The sequence below is a fragment of the Homo sapiens genome, chromosome 22 (genome assembly GCF_000001405.40).
Source record: "Homo sapiens chromosome 22, GRCh38.p14 Primary Assembly".
Taxonomy (NCBI): domain Eukaryota; kingdom Metazoa; phylum Chordata; class Mammalia; order Primates; family Hominidae; genus Homo; species Homo sapiens.
The window spans coordinates 21,167,865-21,192,527 of record NC_000022.11 but is presented as its reverse complement, the minus strand read 5'-3'; the positions used below and the strand labels follow the sequence as shown (position 1 = coordinate 21,192,527).

The window sequence follows — 24,663 nt, the reverse complement described above, 5'->3', positions numbered from 1 at the left end:
AATGTGGAAGGGGATCCAGTAAGGCTTGGAAGTTTGCACCTGATCTGGTGGGTGGTGAGGGGCCCTTGAAGGGGCAAGGAGGCGAGGAGCACTCAGCTGTGTTCTTACACTGATCTGCCACTGGGGTTAGAGACAAACGTGGTGGGAATGGAAAGCCACGCACAGTCACTAGCGCCTCTGGGGGGAGAATGGATGTGGCTGGTGAGAGAACAGGGGGGCCCAGGGAGAGTCCGGCACCAACCTGGGCGGGGGAGCCCAGTGGGTGTGAGCACCCCCACTTTAGAGATGAAGTGATGGAGACATTCAGATGTTTAACCCCTTGTTCAAGATTCCATACTTGATAAATGGCAGATCAAACTCCCAACATAAAATGTGGGTCATTTCTTTATTATTTTATTTGTATTGGTTAACAATGATCAGCCATGCAAGAATAAATGATTATTGTAAAATCTGCAAACAATGTAGATATGTAGAGAGTCCCTTCCTTGGAGCTTGACCTTGTCAGACAGGTATAGATGAGTGTTCCGGGGCAGCCGTAAAAACTGCCAGAGACTGGGCTGCTTATAACAGAAACGCATGGTCTCCCAGAAGCCCACATTCAAGTTGTCCAAAGGCCTGGCTCCTGGAGGCTCTGGAGGAGAGCCTGTTCCCTGTCTCTCAGCTTCTGCCGGTTGCCAGCAAGTGTTGCCGTTCATTCACTCCAGCCACTGCCTCCATCTGCACACAGCAAAACAGCGTATCCTGAAGTGCTCAACCTTATAGCCATTATTTTAAAATATCCGGAACACACAGGACCGTGGGAGTGGCTGTTGGAGAAATTTTCATGAAGGAAGAAAGATTACAACTAAGTTTTAAAATGCTAGTTTTGTTTGTTGTGTCTTGGAGAGGAGGTAAAAGTGGGAGTAAAAATAGGGAGTTTGGTGTAAGGTGGGAAAAGCAAAGGAACCCCGCATGGATGGGCTGAAGGGTGTGATGGGAGAACAGTGAGAAGTACGTTTGGGGAAGCAATTGGAAATAGTAGCTAAGCTTAATCACAATCTATCAAAAGGGACTTGTTGAAGAATTAATGTGTGACTAGGAACAGGGAGGTTATGGGCTTGTCAGCTCGACAGCGGGCACTCAGTTCCACTAACGAATGATGCCCGTGTGGACAGACAGAATGATGGACAGGCAGATGAATGCGTGGGCTTTATGTGAAACAGGTCCTCTTGGTTGTTGACAAGATACTGTTTTAAAGTTCCATTTTGCCATACTGCAAACAGCTTGTCATTAGCTCAATTTAGCCACATGTAAAATCACTAAGGCGGACTTCCAGAGTTCCCACATGAAAATCAAATGTAAACCAGCAGTGACCTGCTTCAACACCATCATCGGAAGTCAGAAGTTGAACTCTTTTTTGATGTTTAAAGCCTGCATAATATTCGCTGTATTATTATTCAGCATATTACTATTTCCTTCGTGATGGAAATTTGGTTTATCCCAATTTTCTATTCTATCAAAACACCGCTACATAGAAAATCCCCATGCACATATTTCTCCTAATTGTGGAAATATTTTACATAAAAGACTCTAGACATGGGATGAAATTCCCAGGTTATTGGAATTTTAAAATAGATAGGTACTCCCAAATTGACCTCTTACAAATTATATGAATTCGTAAGCTTCCAACTGTTATGGAGTTACCCATTTTGAGAAATCTGTGCTAAAAGGACCCAAACAATGCTGATGACAATGATCAGGATAATAAGTACGCTGGGAAGACAACAAAATGATTTAGATCTTAGACAAGTCATTCTAGGTGTCTCCACTGTTTCAGTTCTTGCGTTCGTTCATTCTTGTGCTTTTTCGTTTTACCAAATAAAATAGCTCCTTGATGTCATAGGAATCCACGCTATGCTTAATGAGTATTGGTTAGTAAAATGCCTATAACTAGTAATCTTCATCTATGCAATTAAATATTAATTCATAAAACACTTCAAATGTAAACAATAATTAGTAAATGAAAAGTACATAATACCTCAATTAGAAAAAAATCACTCCATTAAAAAGACATTATTTGTGTGATAAAAGAGATTGCCATTTTTGTATTTTTCTACAAGGTTAAAGAAAACTAAGTCAACTTATACAAGTGAATTTTAAAAGACTTTAGGGCAGGCGTGGTGGCTCACGCCTGTAATCCCAGCACTTTAAGAGGCCGAGGGGGGCAGATCACCTGAGGTCAGGAGTTCGAAACCAGCCTGACCAACATGGTGAAATCTCATTTCTACTAAAAATACAAAAAAATTAGCCCAGTGTGGTGGCATGTGCCTATAATCTCAGCTACTTGGGAGGCTGAGACAGGAGAATAGTTTGAACCTGGGAGGCGGAGGTTGCAATGAACCAGGATCGCACCATTGCACTCCAGCTTGGGCAACAAGAGTGAAACTCCATCTCAAAAATAAATAAATAAATAAATAAATAAAATAAATAAAAGCCTTTAACCCAGAATGCTGAGTAAATTGGCCAAAAATGCTAACCTATGCATTTCAATACTATAGGAGTCGCATGGGTAGAAATAACCAGATGAAATACTTCTGGTATTTCACCTTCCCAACCCACACGAGCCAGTGTTTTTCTGTGAATAACAAAAACAGCAGAATTTACTTGCCTCTCCATAAGAGGTTACCACTTCTGTGTGTTCCCCCGAAACAGGTGGTGGCTGGGTGAGAAGGTGGACAGCACTAGGGCAGGAGATGGGGGCTCCAGTATCGTGGGTGAGCTTCCTAAACCTCTGCAACTTTCAGCCCCTAAATGGGATGAGCCATCAGAATTTTTAGCACAATGCCCAGAACAAAGTAAGGATTTGACAAATGACGCCTCTCTCCACATTGTTCTGTCATCAGCCACCGCATCCTGTACCTCCAAGCCCACTGGGCTCCGGCTGTTTCCATCACATGGAGAATGACTCAGAGCCTGGCCTCCAGCCACCCTCCTGGCCTTTCTTCTTCTCACTCTGCCACTGGCTCCTCATGGACCACCAGCCTGGGTGTCCTCAGACATACCACACACTTCACTGTGGGAGTCACGCAGCCCTCAATGCTCCTTCTCCAGGGAGCCACGGGGCTTTCCTCCTCAGGAGGACTCTGCAAGCAGCTGGATGAAGGGCCCTCCCGTCTCTCATCCTTCCTTAATTTTTGTCACAGTTCTCCTTCCTTCCACTCAGTGCAGTGCACACTGATTGATCCTCCATCTTCCCCAAAAGACAGGAACAGCATGAGCAGTGGAGAGTAGATTCCAATGATAGAAAAAATAGTCAGTGATTTCTCATTTCCATTGATCATCAATGAAGAAAATGTATCCTGAAGGTCATGTACCTCCTATGGGACTGCTGCATCCTCAGCCTCCTGAATTTCAGCCCAGCACCTTCCTCCCCAGCACAGCAACAGGTCAGCCCTTACCAGCATCCCTCTCTTATTGCCTTTGTGCAGAGCCAGCACCAGGGCCAGGGGAGGCCTTGGGATTGTCCCTCCCCAACAATCTGTGAAACAATCCTTTATGTCACCAACAAAGCACAGCCTTATGCACTGGTGGTCAGTCCCTCTCAACACCTCTGTCACTGTAAAGCTGGCAGGCAACCCTCCAAGGTTGGCCTTCCCAAGCACTGCACCTCTAGGTGACAGAGCACGTCCTTACCTTGAAGCCTGGGCGCCCAGTCTATCCTGTCCAATGAGCGAGCTGTGGAGAAGGGGGGATTCCGGGTTAAGGGGAGACTAGCAGGGCTCCTGCTTTTATGTTGCCCTGTTGGGAAGGCTATTAAAGAAACACAAAGTGCTAAGCAGTGAGGATAGAACATGTTTTCATTATTTCAACCAATACATTCCACAGATGGAATAATAAGAAATGCTACAACCAAGCTAACTGAATCCAACAGCATATCAAAAAGATAATCCACCATGATTCAAGTGGGTTTCATACTAGGGATGCAGGGATGGTTTAACATACGCAAGTCAATAAATGTGATACATCACATCAATAAAACTAAAAACAAAAATCACATGATAATCTGAATAGATGCAGAAAAAGCCTTTGACAAAATCCAGCATTTCTTTATGATTAAAACCGTTCATCAAAATCAGCGTAGAACGGACATACCTTAAGGTAATAAAAGCTATCTATGACAAACCCACAGCCAACATTTTCCTGAATGGGGGAGAGTTGAAAGCATTCCGCCTGAGGAAGGGAACAAGACAAAGATGCCCACGTTCACCGCTTCTCAACACAGTGCTGTTCACTACAGCATTGGTTATAAGAGCAAGACTGGAAACAGAACAAATGGATACCCATAGCGGGGTGCTTAAGTAATTTTGGGAATAGTCATGGGGTGCAGTACTTTATAGCTCTGAAACAATACAATGGATTTACATTTGAAATGTGGAATGATAACTAAGGTGCATTGCCCAGTGATATATGCAGAGGTGCAGAGGACTTTGTGTAAACATGATCACACATCAGCCTGCATTCCAGGTGCATGCTTCTATTTGCACATAGATTGCAGGGATGATATGCAAACAAAAATGTTGACTTGGTGTTTGGAAGTTCAGAGTGGAAGGGAAACTTCCTTGCTAACCTTTTATGATATTTAGAGTTTCTAAATGTGAATACGTAATACATTTAGAAATCTTAGTTAATAAGAAAAGCCTCTGTTCCTGGCCTCTTGCTGGCACATGTCAGGTGGAAATGGGGCTGTCATGCTAATGTGTGCAAACTGAGAAAAATCCAAGAATGGGAGTCTGCTTTTTTCATCATACAAATAATTGTTAATAGAAACAGTATGATAATTGCTCATTGATATACCATGCATATTCTATTAGATAATAATAAATTTCTGAAATTTGAACTATACTTACACATGGAAATTGAAATATATGGATGAAACATTGTGGCTTATATAGGCAATTGTTTTATTGGCATTTTACAAACTGATCATCATTCCTCATGGCACGGGTCCATGTGATATTAAGTAGCTTGTTATGCTTGGGAAAGGCAGTGATGACCACAAGAATGACTTCAACTACTAAAGTACAATGGAGATTTCAACAATGTTTTGTTTAATATTTAAATATTTCATTGTGCTCCCAGGCTTTTTCTCACCCTAATAGCTCTCATCCATATCATGTGGGTCCCATTAATACAGATACCCCCGAATGCACCACTCTTCCATTATATCCAGTCAATTGCTGGTTACCTTGGGCCTACCAACTGGGGGAGGGCAGGGGCTGCTGGCCACCTCCTCATCTACAGTAAGAGTCAATGAGCAGTTAAATGGATACTGAAAACCATTTATCCTGCTGGAGTGAGAAATAAATGGTTTCTTTCAATAGCGTAGTAAAATGCATCTTTTCCAAACTATTTATATGACTCAAGGCCCATCTCAATTTCAGATGTGGTTAGCCTCAATTCCTGATTCTCACCAAGGTATGTAATGTCATCCACGGCCCAGTGCAGAGGAACACAGGTGCTGCCGTCAGACTGCCAGGGTCCGATCCCGCCTCCTCACTCACCCCGGGAGATCCCTTTAAGCCAGGAGTCAACAGTGAGGATGGAAACATGAGTGCTTTTTAAAGTCCTGAAAGTTCAGAGGCAGACTGTCAATTTCTCCTCCACCCCTGGGCACACACCAGGAGAACTCTGTCTCCAGGTTGGAGGAAGTGCCTGTGAGAGAGTTGTGTCCCTCAGATTCTGTTCACCACAGGTGACACTCAATGCAACCCCAAACCTCTTCTGCACAATCCCAAGGGGTGCTGACTAATCCAACCCAAAGGCTGTGATGTTTGGCAGAGGCAGAAAAGAAAAGGCCAGGTGTTCTGGGAAAGACCACCTTTAAATAACACAGCACCCTCATAGCCCAGAGAGACAGTTCTAACTATTATGCCAATAAACCCGGAAAAGACCAAATCCGATATGACACATATTTCCTGTTTCGTTTTGATTTCATGCCCCCTCCCTTAACCTCCCAAGCAGCATGGATACCCCGAAGGCCCCTGGGAACTCTCTCCAATTGGATCTTACGTGGAAAGCAGTTACCTACCTACAAATCCCCATCATCAGATATGCTCTCCACAATCAAATCTTTAGAAACACAAACACCAGGATAAGTCATTAGAGAGAGGCCCACCCACTCCTCCCACCCTAGCTGAAGCCATGGTGCTTCGCACAGGATCCCCTGGTGTTTCCTCTGGGCTCACAGATATCCCTACAGCCTCTCTGGACATGGTTTTATACTTGCAAAATCATTTGCTCTCACCAGACCCCAAATCCTCCTTCCCAAAAGGAGCCCAGAATCAGGTTTCTGTACCCTAGAGATGGCGCTTTTTCCTCAGGAAGTGAGTTATTTCAGGGTACGTATCATTCTCCAGTGTCAATGGCTCCTGCAATTATAGAAAAGAAAACATTAGGAGGGTGAAATGATGCCATACACGTCACACAGATCTGATAGTCTCTCGACAACTTGAGAGAGAAAATAGGAAGGGGTATAGTGATTGAGTCAAAGGTCGAAGTCCCCCAAAACTGGCACGGAAGACACCTGTGGAAAAGACAAGACCTTTTCCCACAGAATTTATCTTTAAAGTGTATCTAGATTGGCAGTTTCACAACTCTTAATCCATGGGGGAAAACTGCTGTGGAGGGAAACACCTCTGCATTGCAGTGGATCGTGGATGCTGCCATCTACCACACCCCAGTGTGCCTGGCATGGGTTGGTGAGAGGCTGCCAATCAATAGCACCACACCAAGGGAATTGCAGATGTCATAAATAGTCCACATTGGCAGATGTTCATGTCTACATTTGATTAAACTGCAGATGACATCGATAATGCACACTGGCAGATGTTCATGTCTACATCTGATTGGAAAGAAGCCAGGAAAGTAACATTTCTGTTCAAGACAAAGAAAAGTGTCTTACATTGGCAGCATCTTCTTTTTTACAGATGTCTTGTACAGTGTCCTCATTAGCAATGTCATATACAGCGTCCTTATTAGCGAATTCGTATACAGCATCCTCATTAGCGATGCCATATACAGCGTCCTCATTAGCGATGTTGTATACAGCGTCCTCATTAGTGATGTCGTATAGAGCGTCCTCATTAGCGATGTCATATACAATGTCCTCATTAGCGATGTCATATACAGCAACCTCATTAGCTATGTCTTGTAAAGCATCCTCATTAGCGATGTCATATACAACGTCCTCATTAGCGATGTCGTATACAGCGTCCTCGTTAGCGATGTCTTGTACGGTGTCCTTATAAGCAATGTCGTCTACAGCGTCCTCGTTAGCATGCCTTGTGGGTGCCATTAGCGATGTCATATACAGCATCCTCATTGGTGATGTCTTATATGGTGTCCTCATTAGCGATGTTGTGTACAGCGTCCTCGTTAGCAATGGCTTGTACAGTGTCCTCGTTAGCGATGCCATATACAGTGTCCTCATTAGTGATGGCTTGTACACTGTCCTCATTAGTGATGTCGTGTACAGCATCCTCGTTAGCGTGCCTTGTACGGTGTCATTAGCGATGTCGTATACAGCGTCATAATTAGCGATGTCTTATACGGTGTCATCATTAGTGATGTTGTGTACAGCGTCATCGTTAGCGATGCCTTGTATGGTGTCCTCATTAGCGATGTCGTATACAGCGTGCTCACTAGCGATGTCTTTTTTTTTATATATATACTTTAAGTTTTAGGGTACATGTGCACATTGTGCAGGTTAGTTACATATGTATACATGTGCCGTGCTGGTGCGCTGCACCCACTAACTCATCATCTAGCATTAGGTATATCTCCCGATGCTATCCCTCCCCCCCCAACCCCACAACAGTCCCCAGAGTGTGATATTCCCCTTCCTGTGTCCATGTGATCTCATTGTTCAATTCCCATCTATGAGTGAGAATATGCGGTGTTTGGTTTTTTGTTCTTGCGATAGTTACTAGCGATGTCTTATACGCTGTCCTCATTAGCAATGTCGTGTACAGCGTCCACGTTAGCGTGCCTTGTCGGTGCCATTAGCAATGTCGTATAAAGCGCCCTCATTGGTGATGTCTTGTACAGTGCCCTCATTAGCGATGTTGTGTACAGTGTACTTGTTAGCGACGGCTTGTAGGGTGTCCTCGTTAGCGATGTCGTATACAGCTCGTTGGCGATGCCGTGGGCGGCGTCCTCTTTGGCGATGCCCTGGGCGGCGTCCTCGTTGGCGATGCCCTGGGCGGCGTCCTCGTTGGCGATGCCCTGGGCGGCATCCTCCTTGTCGATGCCCTGGACGGCGTCCTCGCTGGCGATGCCGTGGGCGGCGTCCTCACTGGCGATTCCGTGGGCGGCGTCCTCGTTGGCGATGCCCTGGGCGGCGTCCTCGTTGGCGATGCCGTGGGCGGCGTCCTCTTTGGCGATGCCCTGGGCGGCGCCCTCGTTGGCGATGCCCTGGGCGGCGTCCTCCTTGGCGATGCCCTGGGCGGCGTCCTCCTTGGCGATGCCCTGGGCGGCGTCCTCGTTGGCGATGCCCTGGGCGGCGTCCTCGTTGGCGATGCCCTGGGCGGCGTCCTCGTTGGCGATGCCGTGGACGGCGTACTCCTTGGCGATGCCCTGGATGGCGTCCTCGTTGGCGATGCCCTGGGCGGCGTCCTCGCTGGCGATGCCGTGGGCGGCGTCCTCGCTGGCGATGCCGTGGGCGGCGTCCTCGCTGGCGATGCCGTGGGCGGCGTCCTCGTTGGCGATGCCGTGGGCGGCATCCTCGTTGGCGATGCCCTTGTCGGCGGCCTCGTTAGCGATGCCCTGGGCGGCGTCCTCTTTGGCGATGCCCTGGGCGGCGCCCTCGTTGGCGATGCCCTGGGCGGCGTCCTCCTTGGCGATGCCCTGGGCGGCGTCCTCGTTGGCGATGCCCTGGGCGGCGTCCTCGTTGGCGATGCCCTGGGCGGCGTCCTCGTTGGCGATGCCGTGGACGGCGTACTCCTTGGCGATGCCCTGGATGGTGTCCTCGTTGGCGATGCCCTGGGCGGCGTCCTCGCTGGCGATGCCCTGGGCGGCGTCCTCGCTGGCGATGCCGTGGGCGGCGTCCTCGCTGGCGATGCCGTGGGCGGCGTACTCGTTGGCGATGCCGTGGGCGGCATCCTCGTTGGCGATGCCCTTGTCGGCGGCCTCGTTAGCGATGTCGTGTACAGTATCCTCGTTAGCGATGTCGTGTGTGGCGTCCTCGTTAGTGATGTCGTGTACGGTGTCCTCATGGGGAGCTAGAAAAACACAGAGTTAAGGTCAGTGCCCTGGTGGTGGAGACTGTGAATCACCCAGGGGCTTGCTTGGTGTGATGCATGGAGGTGGCTGATCACAGCATGGGTCAAGCTGATGCTGGGACATCCTCCCAGGTGGACCTGCACTAGTGAAGCTAAGGGATGTGGCTCAGAACACTTTCTGCAGTGGGAATCAGTTTCCAGGTTCAGGTATGCATTATCTGGTGAAGTGGGGAAATATAAAAAATAAAAATTGACAAATTCATGAAAAGCCTTCCATGAGTGCAAGTGTGAGTTTTTTATCCACTTTACATTCAGTATGCATTCACACATACAAAATATTTTTACAAGAAATCAGAAATTTTAATTTTTGTCAGTTATGTGAAATCTAACTTAGCTGCCAGCATAAAGATTCTATCTCATTTACTTGGTCTCGAGAAAATCTAGCACATAGTAAGTAGACCAAAATGTTTATTAAATGAAAACACAGAGCAGAGATAGGGGGGCGGCTAGGCAGACTGGGTTGCACCTGATTACCTGGATGATAATAAACTGCACAAAACCTCGGTCAAATTAATATTGAAACTGCCTTTTGCTTGGGCTCGTTTCCCTTGCGGAAGAAGGATGACCAAGAAGATGAACAGGAAAGAAATGAGAAACAGAGGCCTTTGCTTAGTAGCTAAAGGCCACCTTCTGTAACATGAAATAGTCTACAAGTGGCCTTGAACTCTGCCGTGATTTAGTGACAGGTTCCCTCATGTCTTCTACCCAGGTTGAAGTCCAGCAAAATTGCGACTGTCCTCTTTACAACTTGCGAGACCACACTGCTTCTGCATTTGCCTGTTGTATGTATGAGATTTACACTTGTTTTAAAGCAACATTTTGTTTCAGTTGGGCTGGTGGCCATACCCGGCACTAGCCGGTCAATAGTGAGATGGCTCCTCATGGAGGAGGCTTGGCTTGAGGCTGAGGGTCTTTAACCCACATATACAAGAGAGTTGCCACTAAGGGATGGAAGCCAGGCTAATAACCAAGTGCCACACAGAGTTCCTATCTGTCCCTCCTCACCATTTTTGGCTGGCAGGATTTGAGCATTTTAGGGCTTGGGAAGATAGTATTACTAAATCTACTAAAATACATCACCCATCCTTATAGACTTTGGCCAGTTGCTGAGCAAATTAACTTCACAACTGAAGTGGGCCACACTGGCCTTTGTGGTCCCCCACTCCTCTTAGAATTTGTGAGCGTGGGGCCTACTGGAGGGTGGGAGGTGGGAGGAGGGGGTGGATCAGGAAAAATAACTGATATTAGGCTCAATATATGGGTGATGCAATAATCTGTACAAAAAACTCTCATAACACACATTTATATATGTAGCAAACCTGCACATCCTGCACATGTACCCCTGAACTGAAAAGTTAAATAAAAAAAGGGATCTGTGAGCTGAGCCAAACACCTGGGGATCTTTGTGCTTTTGACACACTGATGACTATGTCGGTCCGTGGGGAGATGAGGCTATAACTGCCCTGGGTTGTGTGACCACGGAGGCCACTTTATGATGATGGGCAGTGTCTGGGGCCTTTTGGGCTCGTTGCTTTAGGGCTTATACATGAATGCTGGACTCCGTGTGTGGTGGTGAACACCCCATGACTAAGTGCATGTCAGCGTCAGCACTGGTCCACACTCCTGGGTTCGTGTTTTCACTGTTTCATTCAGGAACTCGGGAGCTGGGGCCACTCCCTTGGCCCTTCAGGTTCTCCACCTGAGCAGTGGGGATAATAAGGCAGACCCGGGGATGGCTCTGGTGAGGGTGGAGGAGTCACTGTACAGAGAGAGTAGAGCGGGGGTGGATTTTATTGTTAGAAGTGGACACTGGTGATTGGGTTGTATAAGTGGGAAATCTCTCCTGAGAAAACACACAGCCTCACCTGTACAGAAACACACACATTCACACCACACGATGCAGCCTCACACAAGACACCACCAATCCTCAAGCACCCAACTCAGCACCACCCAAAAGGGAGCACAGCTGCTTCCTCAAAATTTGGCCATAATTTTTCCCTGGGGAATTCAGGTTTTAAAAAAACACTTCCCCTATACTTATTCCTATCACAATCCCAGGATCAGGGAGGCTCTTCACATTGAAACCAGGCAAGGATGCCACACCTTTCTTGGCATCCAGATTGTTTTCTTGGCAAGTGATTCCAGAATACTTACTAGATTCAAGCCTCAGAGGGGCCACCTGCACCACCTGCAATACAGAAACAAAGCTTTTTCAGGGGTATCTCATGTTGTGGATTGTTTGCACAAGGCTCTGTTTCTCTCAATGAATACTGAAAACTTGATCAGAAAGTGTAGTCAACTTCAAGGCCTCCAAAACAAGGGTAGGATACACACTGGAAAAGACATCAGCTTCTGGATGGTGGATCTCTCAGGTCCACGTAGGTTGGCAAGTGCAAAATCCTGAATCCAAGGAGAAGACATTGCTTCCAAGGACAAGGACCCCAAGGATACAGTCCACAACCTGAAGCCGTCATAGCTAAATGCCATTTTGGATTACATATCAGTTGCTAAGAGTCACTTCTTCCTCCCCCTCAGAAAACTGCATTTAATACCTGTCATGGACATTGTCATTTTTTCACATGTAAAGTCAGTTGAAAAAGAAAGACACCAAGAAAGGAACATTTCTATTTCAGAGAAAGCAAGGCAACCTTACCCTCGCGTTGACTGGCCTCTCTCCATCTCCTCTGTCCTTGTGAACTAGAGACTCCTCAGAGGCTAGGAGGACACAGAGCAACAGTTAGTCATAGATGCTTTTGTTCATGAGTTATTCAGGGAGCTCTGCTTAATGTGGACAACAGGACAGTGTGTGTGGATGTGTTTCATTAAAAGCACAGCTTGAGCTCCTGCTAGAAAATCTTCCCTCGTGGAAAGACAGGCAAGAACGAGGAGCTAAGGAGCAAGAAATAGAGTCCCTGGCATTTTGCTGATGGCAACTGAAGAAAATGGGAATGAGTCAGTCTACAAATGGTACTGAAGCACATGCTATAGTTTGATGAGAGTCCCACTGCTCACACTGTGAGGTTTGAAACCCAGCTAAATGGTTTTCTAAACCTGTAAAAACAATATTAGCTTGCAGGATTTATGTCCCAAGACTACTTTTACCTCTGAGGATCCACAGTGGCTGTCACTGCAGTTATGTGTTTTAGCATTTTGCACTTGAATACAAGCAAAGTTTAATAGATAGATTGGATTCAATTCTAGGCAAAACAGTCTATGGTATTTATTCACTAATCCTTTGTTATAACTGCTGATGGGAGAATTAGAAGTACTGAAATTATATCCTTTAAAATTAATTAAAGCATAATTATTAATCACACAATATTTTTTCATCCAGGCCTCCTTTTCTTTGTCATGCATGCATATTAATTGAGGATGGAGAATATCTACGCTTGTTCAGGCCAGCCAACATACGACAGTTTACTTCAAGAGAGGAGACACGGGTTGAATGCTGGTGTGTTTTAACTCTGCAGCGCAAACAGTTGCAACAAGTGTGGTGAACTAATCACCAGATGGCCCTTTGCTGCCTTATTTGTCATTGTGCCTTACATGTAGCTTGCAGGATTTGATTACGCTTATGTTTTGTGGTGATCATACTTTCAACTATTCCTAAAATACTGCTTCAGTCTTATCTGTTTGGGGTCAACTGCTGAGGATTTCATACAAATTAACGAAGTTTGTGAATCTAAAGTTCTACACAAAGGTGGAAATATTTGCAAATCATTTCTCTTGTAAGAGACTAAAATTTAGAATATATTTTAAATATATTTAAGATATATTCAAAAATCTACAACAACAAACTAACTAAATAAAAATCAGACAACTCTTTAAAAATGGGCAAAAGACTTCAACATATATTTCCCTAAAGAAGATACAGCCACAGATAGTAGCACAGGAAAAGCTGCTCAGGATCATTAGTCATTAGGGAAATGCAAATGAAAAACACAAGCAGCCACCAATATACACCTACTAGGATGATTTAAAGGAAAATAAGTGTGAAGAAGGACGTAAAGAAATTGTAACCCTGATACATTGATGGTAGAAATGGATAAAGTTGCAGCCACTGTGAAAAACAGTCTGCAGTGGCTCAGAAGGTTAAATATAGAACCCCTGTTGGACCCAGGAACTCTACTCTTAGGCACCCCAAAGAATAGAGAACGGAAATCAAACAGATGTTTGTATACTAATGTTTGTAGCATCACTTTTCACAGGAGCCAAAAGGTGGAAATAATCCAACCATCAGTGAACAAATGAATGTAATAAAAGCAAGGTGGTCTGCATGCAATGCTACATCATCCATCTGTAAAAAACGAACATCATTTTGAAAGATGATACAACATGGGTGGACATTGAGAACATTATGCTTAGTGAAATAAGCCAGACACAAAAGGAATATATTGTATAATTGTAATTACATGAAGTGCCTAGAATAGTCAAATTCATACAAGAGAAAGTGGGATAGGAATCACCATGGGCTGGAAATAGGGGGAAGGTGCTATATTGCTTATTGTGGACAAGGTTTCGTAAGAAATCATCAAAATTGTGGGTGTAGATAGTGGTGTTGGTTATGCAACCCTGTGAATATATTGAATGCCATGGAGTGCACACTTTGGTTAAAAGGTTCAAATGATAAATATTGTGTTATATATATTTCCCCACGATAGAAAACACGCACAGCCAAGCCCAGATGCCAGTCTTGTTAGCTGCCTTCCTTTACCTTCAAGAGTGGGCTGAAGCTTGTCCAATCTTTCAAGGTTGCTGAAGACTGTATGATGGAAGTCATCTGCATTGGGAAAGAAATTAATGGAGAGAGGAGAAAACTTGAGAATCCACACTACTCACCCTGCAGGGCCAAGAACTCTGTCTCCCATGCTTTGCTGTCCTGTCTCAGTATTTCCTGTGACCACCTCCTTTTTCAACTGAAGACTTTGTACCTGAAGGGGTTCCCAGGTTTTTCACCTCGGCCCTTGTCAGGACTGATCCTCTCAACTACTGACCATTTCACCTCCATTCATGTCCATGCCACATCAGGCTGTGTTGTCTAGATGGAATGAATCCACCCCAAATGTCCCTTTCTGGAGGAAGCCACCATTATGCTGTACCTCCAAGCATAATGGTACGTCCACACACACCAGGGCACCTCGCTCATGCAAGGTGCGTGTCCTCTAACAAAGTTTCACGCTCTAAACCCAGATAACTTTTCAAACCCAAGTTCTGTTGATTCCCCTACTTTGAGTGCTCCATAGATGCTCATTTGTCTACTAAACACTGCCCCAGGCAATTAAATATTCCAAAGTGACCAGCAGAATTTTTATGTTAATTCTGACATTGCGTTGTTAGTACAAGTGTTGTTCCCCCTTCAAATTTATGTCTTTGTTACTGATAAATGTAACTGATAATGCGTTTTTCAGCTATGTTGCCAAGCATATTTATATAAAAATATACTCAGATTGTTTTCAGAATTTGACAAAGATGATAGCAACAATGATAATCTTATTTGTTTTATACCAATCTTTATGTGTTATTTTCATCATTTCTTACATATTGGGGCCTACCATACATTGTACGGTGAAATTAGTGCTATGCATCATGGTAGAAATATAAATTGGCAAAAGTAATTTAGAAAATAGTTCCCTTGTTTCTTAAAAAAATTAGGCTGGGTGTGGTGGCTCATGCCTATAATCCCAGCACTTTGGGAGGCAGAGATAGGTGGATCACCTGAGGCTGGGAGTTTGAGACTAGCCTGACCAACACAGCAAAATCCTGTCTCTACTGAAAATACAAAAATTATCCAGGCATGGTGGCGTGTGCCAGTTGTCCCAGCTACTCGGGAGGTTGAGGCATGAGAATTGCTTAAACCTGGGAGGTGGAGGTTCCAGTGAGCCGAGATTGTGCCACTGCACTCCAGCCTGGGTCTCAGAAAAAAAAAAATTTTTTTGACCAAAATGTCATTATGCATTACATGACTGTATATGAATGCTCAAAGCTACATTACTCATCAAAGAAAATAACAAAACAATTAAATGTCCATTAACTGATAAATGAATAAACACTATCTGTATGAGTAAACACAGCAGACTATGAAGGAAAACACATGACCAGCACGTGCTAACACGTCAATTAACTTCAAACATAGTATGCTAAATGAAGGAAGTCAGATTCCAAATATATATATATGTCCATTTCTATTAAGCAAATGGGAAATTTATGGAGATGGAATGTCACAGCAGTATTGCTTAGGGCTGGAGATGGGAGTGGGGATTAACTGCCAGTGCGCAAGAGAGAATTTGGGTGAGGGAAACATATTTAAATTAGATCGTGGTGATGGGTGCACACAGTATCAATTTAATAAAGCATCAAATTGTAGACCTTTTCAGTGGGCAAACTTTATGGTGGGTTCACACCCAATATAGGTGTTAAAAATAAATTAATGTTACGGAAATTCTTGTCGGGTTTTTAACAAGCCAAGAGATATGCTGTGAAAGCAGCATTAATTCAAATGGTTGTCACAGGTCACTTAAAGTTAGATAGCTGTCCTACAAATATAGGGTGAATGTTATTCATGAATTTCCTGAATCTATTGCAATAATCACATTTTTTTCCATTAAACTCTTGAGGTAGCTAATTTTATTTATTGCATTTTCAATGTTAATCTACTATTTCATATATTGAGATTAACTCACATTAGTCAGAATTTACAGTATTTTAAAATATCACAGAATTTAATTTACCTTATCTGGTTTTGGTTTCAAGACTATACTAGCCATTTCATTTAATTGTACATGTAGGGTATTCTAATTTATGGAAAACTATTACATCTTCCTTGATTTTTTTTTTTTTTTTTTTAGAAATTACTTCTAGGGATCTATATGGTAGAGTCCATGGAGAATTGTTTTAATTCTTCATTCATGTCTTCAGTGGGTATAGGATTGGTCATATTGGTCATAGTTTTCTGCTCGGATTTCAATAAGAAACTTGTGGAAGAACCTGAAGGGTGGGATCTTTGAGGGAGCCTAAGACAGAGCAAGACAAGCTAAGAAGGAGGGCAGTGCCACAGCAGAACTGCCGTTGATGCCCCCTCGCCTAGATTGCGGAAGAGACATCCAGCTGTAGACACTGAGGTGCAGGAAAACAATGGAGCACCATCAGAGAAAGCAGTGCCCAGGAACAAGGAGGCACTGATGGTGGCAAGGGGCAAAGACAGCTGCCACGAGGCTGTTCACATGAGGGTCTCAGGCTGCATAGACACCCACACCAGCTGAGGGGTCCTGGTTTTCATAAAGTGTGTGGCTCAGCCAGGCCACCAACAAGCAGTTCACAAACAGTAGTAATACGACACTTTCCAAAGACCTTACTTGAGTAACACGGTGATCCTCACAAATTTCCAATCAGGATGGTCGCACAGTTCCTCCTGCTTTAGGACTCAGAGCCTGCCCGTGGTCACAGTGGGTAGGTGCAGACTCTGAAGATGCACTTTGGTCAGAGACCCTGCTGAACTCTGTCTGATGAGGACCTCTGTCCTGTCTGCTGACCACCGGTCAGAGGTGCAGGCTGCAGTGGGGAGTAAGAATGCCACCTTCTCAATGTTGGGAAAACTCCCTGCCAGAACTGAGAATGGCCCTTTCTAAGCAGAAGGCAAGCTCAGACTAAAGAAGGAGGCCGAACACATCAGGTTGGCAGATTGCCAAAGATTCACTCAGGGAGAGCCCACATCCTGGGCCATCTTGGGTGGTGGCAAGATGAGGTAGACGACTGCTTTTGCAACACATACCTGACAACAAAAATTCAACAACTGTAAAAGAGCCACAAAATCCCCAAATATTTGCAAATTAGCAATGCACTTTTAAATAACTCATGGGTTAAAGAAGAAGTCTCAATAGAAAATTAAAAATACTTTTAACTACATTAAAAGAAAATGTGACTTGGCAAGATTTCTGGATGTAGCAAAAGCAGTCCTTAGAGGGAAATCTATAGCATTGGATGCAATATACTAAAAATCACAAGACCTAAAATCAGTAATATCATGTTTCAATTAGGGAACTATAGAAAATAGAGGAATGCAATGGAAAGCAAGTAAAAGTAATAAACAACATCACAGAAATCAATAAAATTAAAACACTGAAATCATCAGAAAATCAATAAAACCAAAAGCTGGTTCTTTGATATGCTCATTACAATGAATGAATTGATATGCAGGCTAACCAAGAAAAAGAAGATAACACAAATGACCAATTTCAGAAATAAAAGAGGAGCCATCTCTACTGAACTGTTAGGCATTAAAAGGAATATCATGAACAGTTCTATGACCGCAGTTTGATAACCTCAGTGAAATGTATCAATTCCTTGAAAGGCAATCTTCCCAAGGTCATGCTAGGATCCTAATTTGAATAAACTTATGTCTATTAAATAAGTTGAATTCACATTAAGAGCATTCCGAAAAAGAAAGCACCAGGCCCAGATGGTTTCTCTCATGAAATCTACCGAATTCTTCAACAGGTGAATAAAAAGACAAAAATTCATTGAATGCAATATTATTTGGTGATTTAATGTGCCATTTTTTGCCATTAAGGCATAAAAAAGACATGAAAGCAGCTAAAGCGTACATCAATTTAGTGCAATAAATTCATCTGAAAAAACTACATAATATATGATTCCAACTATATGACATTCTGGAAAAGGCAAAGCTGAAGCGATAGTAAAAATATTAATAGTTGCCAAGGTTTCTGGAGAAAGAGGACAGAGATTAATGAGAAGAGAGGATTTTTAGGGAAGTGAACATTTTCTTTATGAGACCATAAGGGTGAACATAATGTTTTAAATATTTCAAAATTCATATATATGTATAACAGAAAGAATGAACATTATGCAAATGTAGACTTCAGATAATAATGTGTCAATATTTTCTCATTATTCTAGCAAATGTACCACAGTAATGTAAGATGTTACTAATAGGTGAAATTAGGAAGTGAGGGTGAGGAGACAGAATAATATGGGAACTTCGTGTATTATATACTCAATTTTTATTTATTTATTTATTTATTTATTTTGAGATGGAGTTTCACTCTTGTCACCCAGGCTGGAGTGCAATGGCATGATCTTGGCTCACTGCAACCTCTGCCTCCTGGGTTCAAGCGATTCTCCTGCCTCAGCCTCCTGAGTAGCTGGGATTACAGGCGCCTGCCACCACACCCGGCTAATTTTTTTGGATTTTTAGTAGAGATGGGGTTTCACCATGTTGGCCAGGCTGGTCTCCAACTCCTGACCTCAGATGATCCGCCTGCCTTGGCCTCCTAAAGTGCTGGGATTATAAGTGTGAGCCACCACGCCCGGCCATATGCTCAGTTTTTATGTCAATTTAAAACTCTCTAAAGAAATATATTAATTGAAAAATAATAATATAGCACCACTCTTTCAGGGAGATCTATGCTTATGTTTAACAACCAGGTAAGTTCTAGACATTAGCTTGAAACATTGTCTATCATTAAACATGAACCAAAATTGACTTTTAAGTAGATATTTACTTTTGTGGTGGTAGCAATATTTACTGACCAGGCAAATTAGAATCCTGACACATTAAAAAATATGGCTTAGTCTCTTCATAGTTTCCTCTTACATATGGGACACTGAATACTCCCCGCAACTGCAATTCTTGAATCAACTTAATTAATGAACTTCCACAGTACCTTCTTGTGGGTACCTCTTCTTCTTTACCCGGGAGCCATGAGGTCTCCTACACTGGTTGGTGTGCACAGCATATCTTCTTGTATTCTCTATCAGAGAAGATGCTGGTTAATGCATTGACAATAGATAGGGCTGTTGACATCTTGCTGACAGAAGACCAGAGGGAAAATAGTGATAATCTGTTCTAAGTTTAAACTTATGATCCTTTTCTTTACAGGCTTCCAAGCAGAGCCCACTGAATCAAAGTTGGGTTTCAGGAAGATCACGGAGTTCAGTGAGCACTCAACACCTCTATCAGACAGACTGCGTGGGCAGTGCCTTCCTGGAGAGGAGAACACAGCCGGATGACTGTGAGTGCAGGGCTGGTGCAGAGTGGGGGCCCGGATTCAAATTCCACTAAGCCATGTGGACCTGGCAAGCTCATGTCCTCCCTCTGCCCTCAGTTCTCTGCACTGTCATAATGTAATTTTAGCAATACTTTTTAGGCCCTATTTAAGCCCTACTTCTTAGTATCACAGTGCAGGGCTAAAAAATCACTAAATACAGGAAAACCTTAGAGAGGACTGGTACTTCAGTAATGTTCTCTAAGTGTTTACTACATGCCAGGAGGAATAAGCTGGACACTTAGCAGTGGCGGAATATGGAGGGGGAACTTGCATGACTCCGGGGCAGTGGAGCATGCTTTCCTGTTCGGCTTTTCCGTGGGCATGACGCCTTATGGTTTATGGAGAACATCAGCCCTGCAGGGGGTGCAGAGGAGGGGCTGTGGCTGAGATTTTACACTTGAGGGTGCTGACATTCAGAGATGATAAGTGACGAGCAGAACCTCAACCCCGCTGAGTGAAGGACCTGAGATGGGAAATGTATTTGGTTCCCTAGAGAGAGAGATTCCTGAAAAACTGCCACCTCTTCATCACGCCCTGTGCCAGAGACCCAAGAGACCCCTCACTGTCTTTCTCCAGTCCTCCTAGCCCAAGGTGTGTGGGTGGACAAAGGTGATGCTCTGGAGGAAATGCCTGAGATAAGGACAGGTCCTTAATGATAAAGAATTCTCCTTCCTCTTTCAGATCCTTGACCTCCCAGTATGACAGCTTAAAGGCTGTCATCTCTGTGGCCTGCCTCCCCTTTCCCTTCACCCTGCCAGCTGCCTCTCAGTGACTGTCTCCTCCAGTGACTACACTGAGGGACCAGGGACTGCTTGCCTCCCGAGGCTGCTCAGACCTTCCGACACCACAAAATGATTGTCAAAAGATGGGTCTGCAAAGAGTAACTTCCCTTCCACTGATCAAACCTGAATATGCAAGCTACTGTCAATTAACTGGAAAAGTGGCCGTTTGGGCTGGTGCTTTGGTGATTTAATGAATTAAGTCTGCAAGCCCCACTGCCTCCTTGACTATTGATCAGAGCTGCCTGCAATAAGGTCTGGCTAAGAATGGGCAGTGGCTGCACCAGCTCTGGGTAAAATTTGACCTAAAATGACCAATCTCATTCACTAACCTCACCATAGTCTTATGGGTTCAATGGACCTGTCCAATCCTTTGCTCTGTTCTCTCCATCACCTTCCTGTGTAATTTTCCTCCACCACGCACATAATAGAAACATGGCACAGGGGAGCTAATCGCCTCTTTTATCCCCCACTTCAGGCTCACACGTAAGTTTATAGTAAAAGCCTTTTCAAATGACTGCTTTAACTGCTGCTACAGCATGTGTCATCAGTTGAATGGAATCTGTCACGTGACTTTAAGCAACCCTTTGCTGAGAGACAAGATTCAATACTAGGGACAGTATTCTAGTGTACTACATCATTGATTTTATGTTATGAAGATCATCATTTATTGAAAATGTATAAATAATGAAGCCCAGCCTTACTCTTCAACGCTGTGTGTGTAAATCCACTGAGTGTGCTGACCCCCACGCTTGTACCCACCTGCTAACACAGAAAGGGTCCACTCAGAAGGCAGGCACAGCTCCAGCACTGAGGCTGTCCACACCAGCTTCACAAGAGGGTTGCCACAAGGACGACGGATACCCGGATAGCAACCAAATGGTAATTTGAGTACTTAATGGTCATGATCCCTAAAGTGTGTAGCTCAGAGGGCTTGTGGTGATAACTCCATCAAGACTCTAAAGCATCTCCCCAATTCTTACTGGACTTGATCCATGTCTTGAGGAGACCCAGCTATGACACGCAGGCACCACGTTGTCCTACTTAGTGCCTCCCTTAGTGTTTCAGAACCTGTGATTTGATCAGAAACATGGGCTTTCTATGTTGGTTTCACACTAAGGACTATGTGACACCTGCAGGAAGATGTCTACATAGCTACCTGGATTATGAGATCATGAGGCTGTCTTATGTGAGGGATGGCGTTTGGGATCTCTGCAGGTGTGGGTAATTCCAGGCATAGAGGGTGCTGGAACTCCCTTGCATGGGGAATAGTGATCTCTTCACTGGCTGATAAATAGAGGTTGTAGTTCAGGCCTTCAACATTAGCACCGTATGAGTAAACATTTTGACTCTTCACTATGCAGCAAGTGAACCAGGGCACATTTATTTATGTGGCTGAGTTTCTCCATCTGGCATGTGGGCTCAATAAACAAGCTCACAACATATGGGCATGATGATGATGAGGTGTGAACTAATGTAAGTAAAGTATGTGGTCTGATTTGTTAAATTAAGAAAAATGGCACTGAGAGTTGTGCTGGGTAAACACAACATTTTTTTCCTAGGGGAAACACACATAGACACACATTCACAAGCAAATCATGCAGACTTGCACACAGACCACCTCACCCCACCCCCGCCCTAATACACACATACCCACACACAACCTAATGTGAACATGTTCCCAGAAACTATACATAGATAAAAAGAGTATGTCACCAGGAAAACCAGTTTCTTTTACTATACCCTACATCCTCATTCCCACCAGATGTCTTGGATCATGGAGGCTCTCCAGACAAAAGCCAGCAGTTAAGCTCCAGATTTCCTGTAGAATCCTTTTCTAACAACCAGTGAGTGATTCCAGAATACGTACCATTGAATGTGCTCCCTGAAGTCACCTGTAATTAGAGAAGGAAAACACTCTGAGAATCAGGCTATGCTATGGATGGCTCACACAGGTCTTTTGTTCACTTGGAAACTCTGGGTAACCAAGACTGGAAATAAGGTTCAAGTCAAAAGCCCCAACTCTAGAGTAGAGTTCCCTTAGGAAAGCACAGGAGCTTTTCTTGAAGAATGTTTCTGTCTAGGTAATTTTTGAGTAGCAATTGCAGAATTCTTATCTAAAGTGGAAAGCTTGTTCCTGAAGAAAACATCCCTTAACACCCAGTGTACTATCTGACACTGCCAATTTTGCACGTCCTCTGGAATCAGGTGTCAGTTGGTAAAATACACCTCCTCCATCCCCAAGGAAATATTATCTAACACCTATAATGTAGTGGAGAATTTTCCCATAGCTGATATCAACTGAAAAATAAAGGATCCAAGAAAACAACATTTACATCTTAGGCAAAGACAGGCTACTTTACCTTGGTAGTAGAGTAGGGCTTCCTTTTCACATGCTTTTTGGAAGGCTTCTTCGAGTCACCTAGGGGATGTGGAGGGACACAGCATGGCTGTCAGTTCATTGGCAGTGCTACTCATGAATGACTCAGGGACTGGAACTTAGGGGCGTGCCTGGTTAACAAGCATGGAATGAGCTTCTCCTGGACCATCTTCTTCACGGACCAAGGAAGGCAAAGAAAGAGCAGCAAGGAAATGAGAGTAGAGCCCTTGGCTTTCCAGGTAATGGCAAATGAAAGCAACGTGAAATAATCAACTCCAAATGAACAAATGCTAAAATACATGCTAGGATTCAACCACAGCATCCTGTCACTTCTTCAGACCCTTTAAAAGCCCAGCAGGACTGCCACTAGCTTCTTGACATCTACCAAGTCCCTTTCAACCTCCACAGACCCACATACACTGCTACTGCATTTATCATGGAGGGTATAGGGTTCTGCCTTGTTTATGTGTGAATTTTTTAAAAACTAGATTTAATACCATGCACCAGCATTAATTGTATTTATTTCTTTTCTTGGTTATGAAAATAATCAGTCAGGCATAGTGGCTCACACCTGTAATCCCAGCAGTTTGGAAGGTGGAGGTGGGTGGATCATTTGAGGTCAGGAGTTCGAGACCAGCCTGACCAACATGGTAAAACCCCATCATTGAAGATAAATGTTTTATATCCATGGTTAACAGATGAGATGACCATGAAATGAACACCAGTGTACTGGGTGGAGCAGCTTATCTATTCAGTCTTCGGCACTAAAACCTGTGAAACAATATCATCTTGCCTTATTTACTAACAAATACAAGTGCCTCTAAACTTAGACAGTTTCCAAGTCATGGAACTGATGAGCACTTAGCTCCTGCAGAGAGCTCTGGACGATGGGTCGGGAGAACAAAGACACAATACATCAAAACAGCATTAACAAGTAAACAGGTTTTCAAAGCCCTCTACATGCAAATTTACACAATTATCCTTTTAATTTTTATCTTCATATATATGTACATAATCTACTTGCTTCTGAGTATAAATAAAACTGTATGTTCTTAGTTAATAGTCTCTATAAATTCACTCTATTTATCTTTCTGAGTTGAAATACTGCATCTCATTGGATAACAAAAAAAAAATTTGACTAAGATTACACTGGAAAGGTGAGTAGGTTGGGTGATTGACTGTGATTGACAATTCCATGATTCTGGATAACTTCCAAAGCATAAAAATAAATGTGTGTTTTCTTTCACACGTAGACAATACACATACTTATTACTTTAAAAAATTAATATGTGCATGGAAGTGACTTACTACAAATATATTAAAGTAAATACACATTTCACAAAAAAAGAAGAGAGGAAGGGAAAAACATGTTAAAAACAAAGAGAGGTACATTTTATTGTGTGAAAAGCCTCCAACGGATCCATACTACTGTGGCTTTGTTCCAAAGTTTTGGAAAGTAATGATTTCATAGGTTCTTAATTGGGTTAAAAACTGCATTAAAATAGACTTTGCCATATTCTCCCCTGGGGAATAACTTAATCTGTGGGGTGGGGGATGTAACGTTGAAGGATGCAGGATGTAAAAGGAAATTATATATATATATATAATTTGGGAATTTGGGAATAAACTGAATAAACTGAATCCCAATTCACACTGGGACTACACCAGCTGCCACCATGCCTGGCTAAATTTTTGTATTTGTAGTAGAGACAGGGTTTCACTGTATTGGCCAGGATGGTCTTGATCTCCTCACCTTGTGATCCTCTTGCCTTGGCCTCCCAAAGTGCTGGGATTACAGGCCTGAGTCAAGATACATATTTTTTAAATGAAGAAAAATTTCAAAGATACTCTGCTTGGTACAATAATCAAATATATAAATTGAGGAATAAAACATAATCATGAAACATATTTATAACTGCATATGGAAAATACAGAGGCTAATTTTTTAAATAACATATTTTGAAAGCATTAACTAGTAATTTGAAAAGATCGCATTTGACAGGCCAGTATGAACATACCTTGAATGCAGCCACACAGGTTCCCCATAAGAAAAATCAAAATCAGGGAAAATGAAACCACAATGGTTCAATCTGCTCTGACCTTTGAAAAACTCAGCACAGATA

General features: G+C 43.5%; 1 long non-coding RNA gene across 1 annotated transcript, besides 1 other annotated feature; it reads right to left on the bottom strand.

Moving 5' to 3' along the window:
• Window positions 1-366: 366 nt before the first annotated feature.
• FAM230B (family with sequence similarity 230 member B) lies at window positions 367-24,663 on the bottom strand. Its single transcript, NR_165621.1, has 12 exons — window positions 24,559-24,663; window positions 22,524-22,582; window positions 22,031-22,055; window positions 18,998-19,084; window positions 14,032-14,097; window positions 11,971-12,032; window positions 11,472-11,505; window positions 6,941-9,257; window positions 6,335-6,407; window positions 6,068-6,108; window positions 5,451-5,605; window positions 367-806 (listed from the first exon to the last, which is right to left on the bottom strand). It is a non-coding gene; the product is annotated as a family with sequence similarity 230 member B (long non-coding RNA).
• Window positions 17,042-17,242: a silencer, noted in NCBI's record as "peak4464 fragment used in MPRA reporter construct". NCBI's record gives its function as "represses an SCP1 promoter by STARR-seq MPRAs in K562 erythroleukemia cells {active_cell/tissue: K562}" and the evidence as "EXISTENCE:reporter gene assay evidence [ECO:0000049][PMID:32103011]".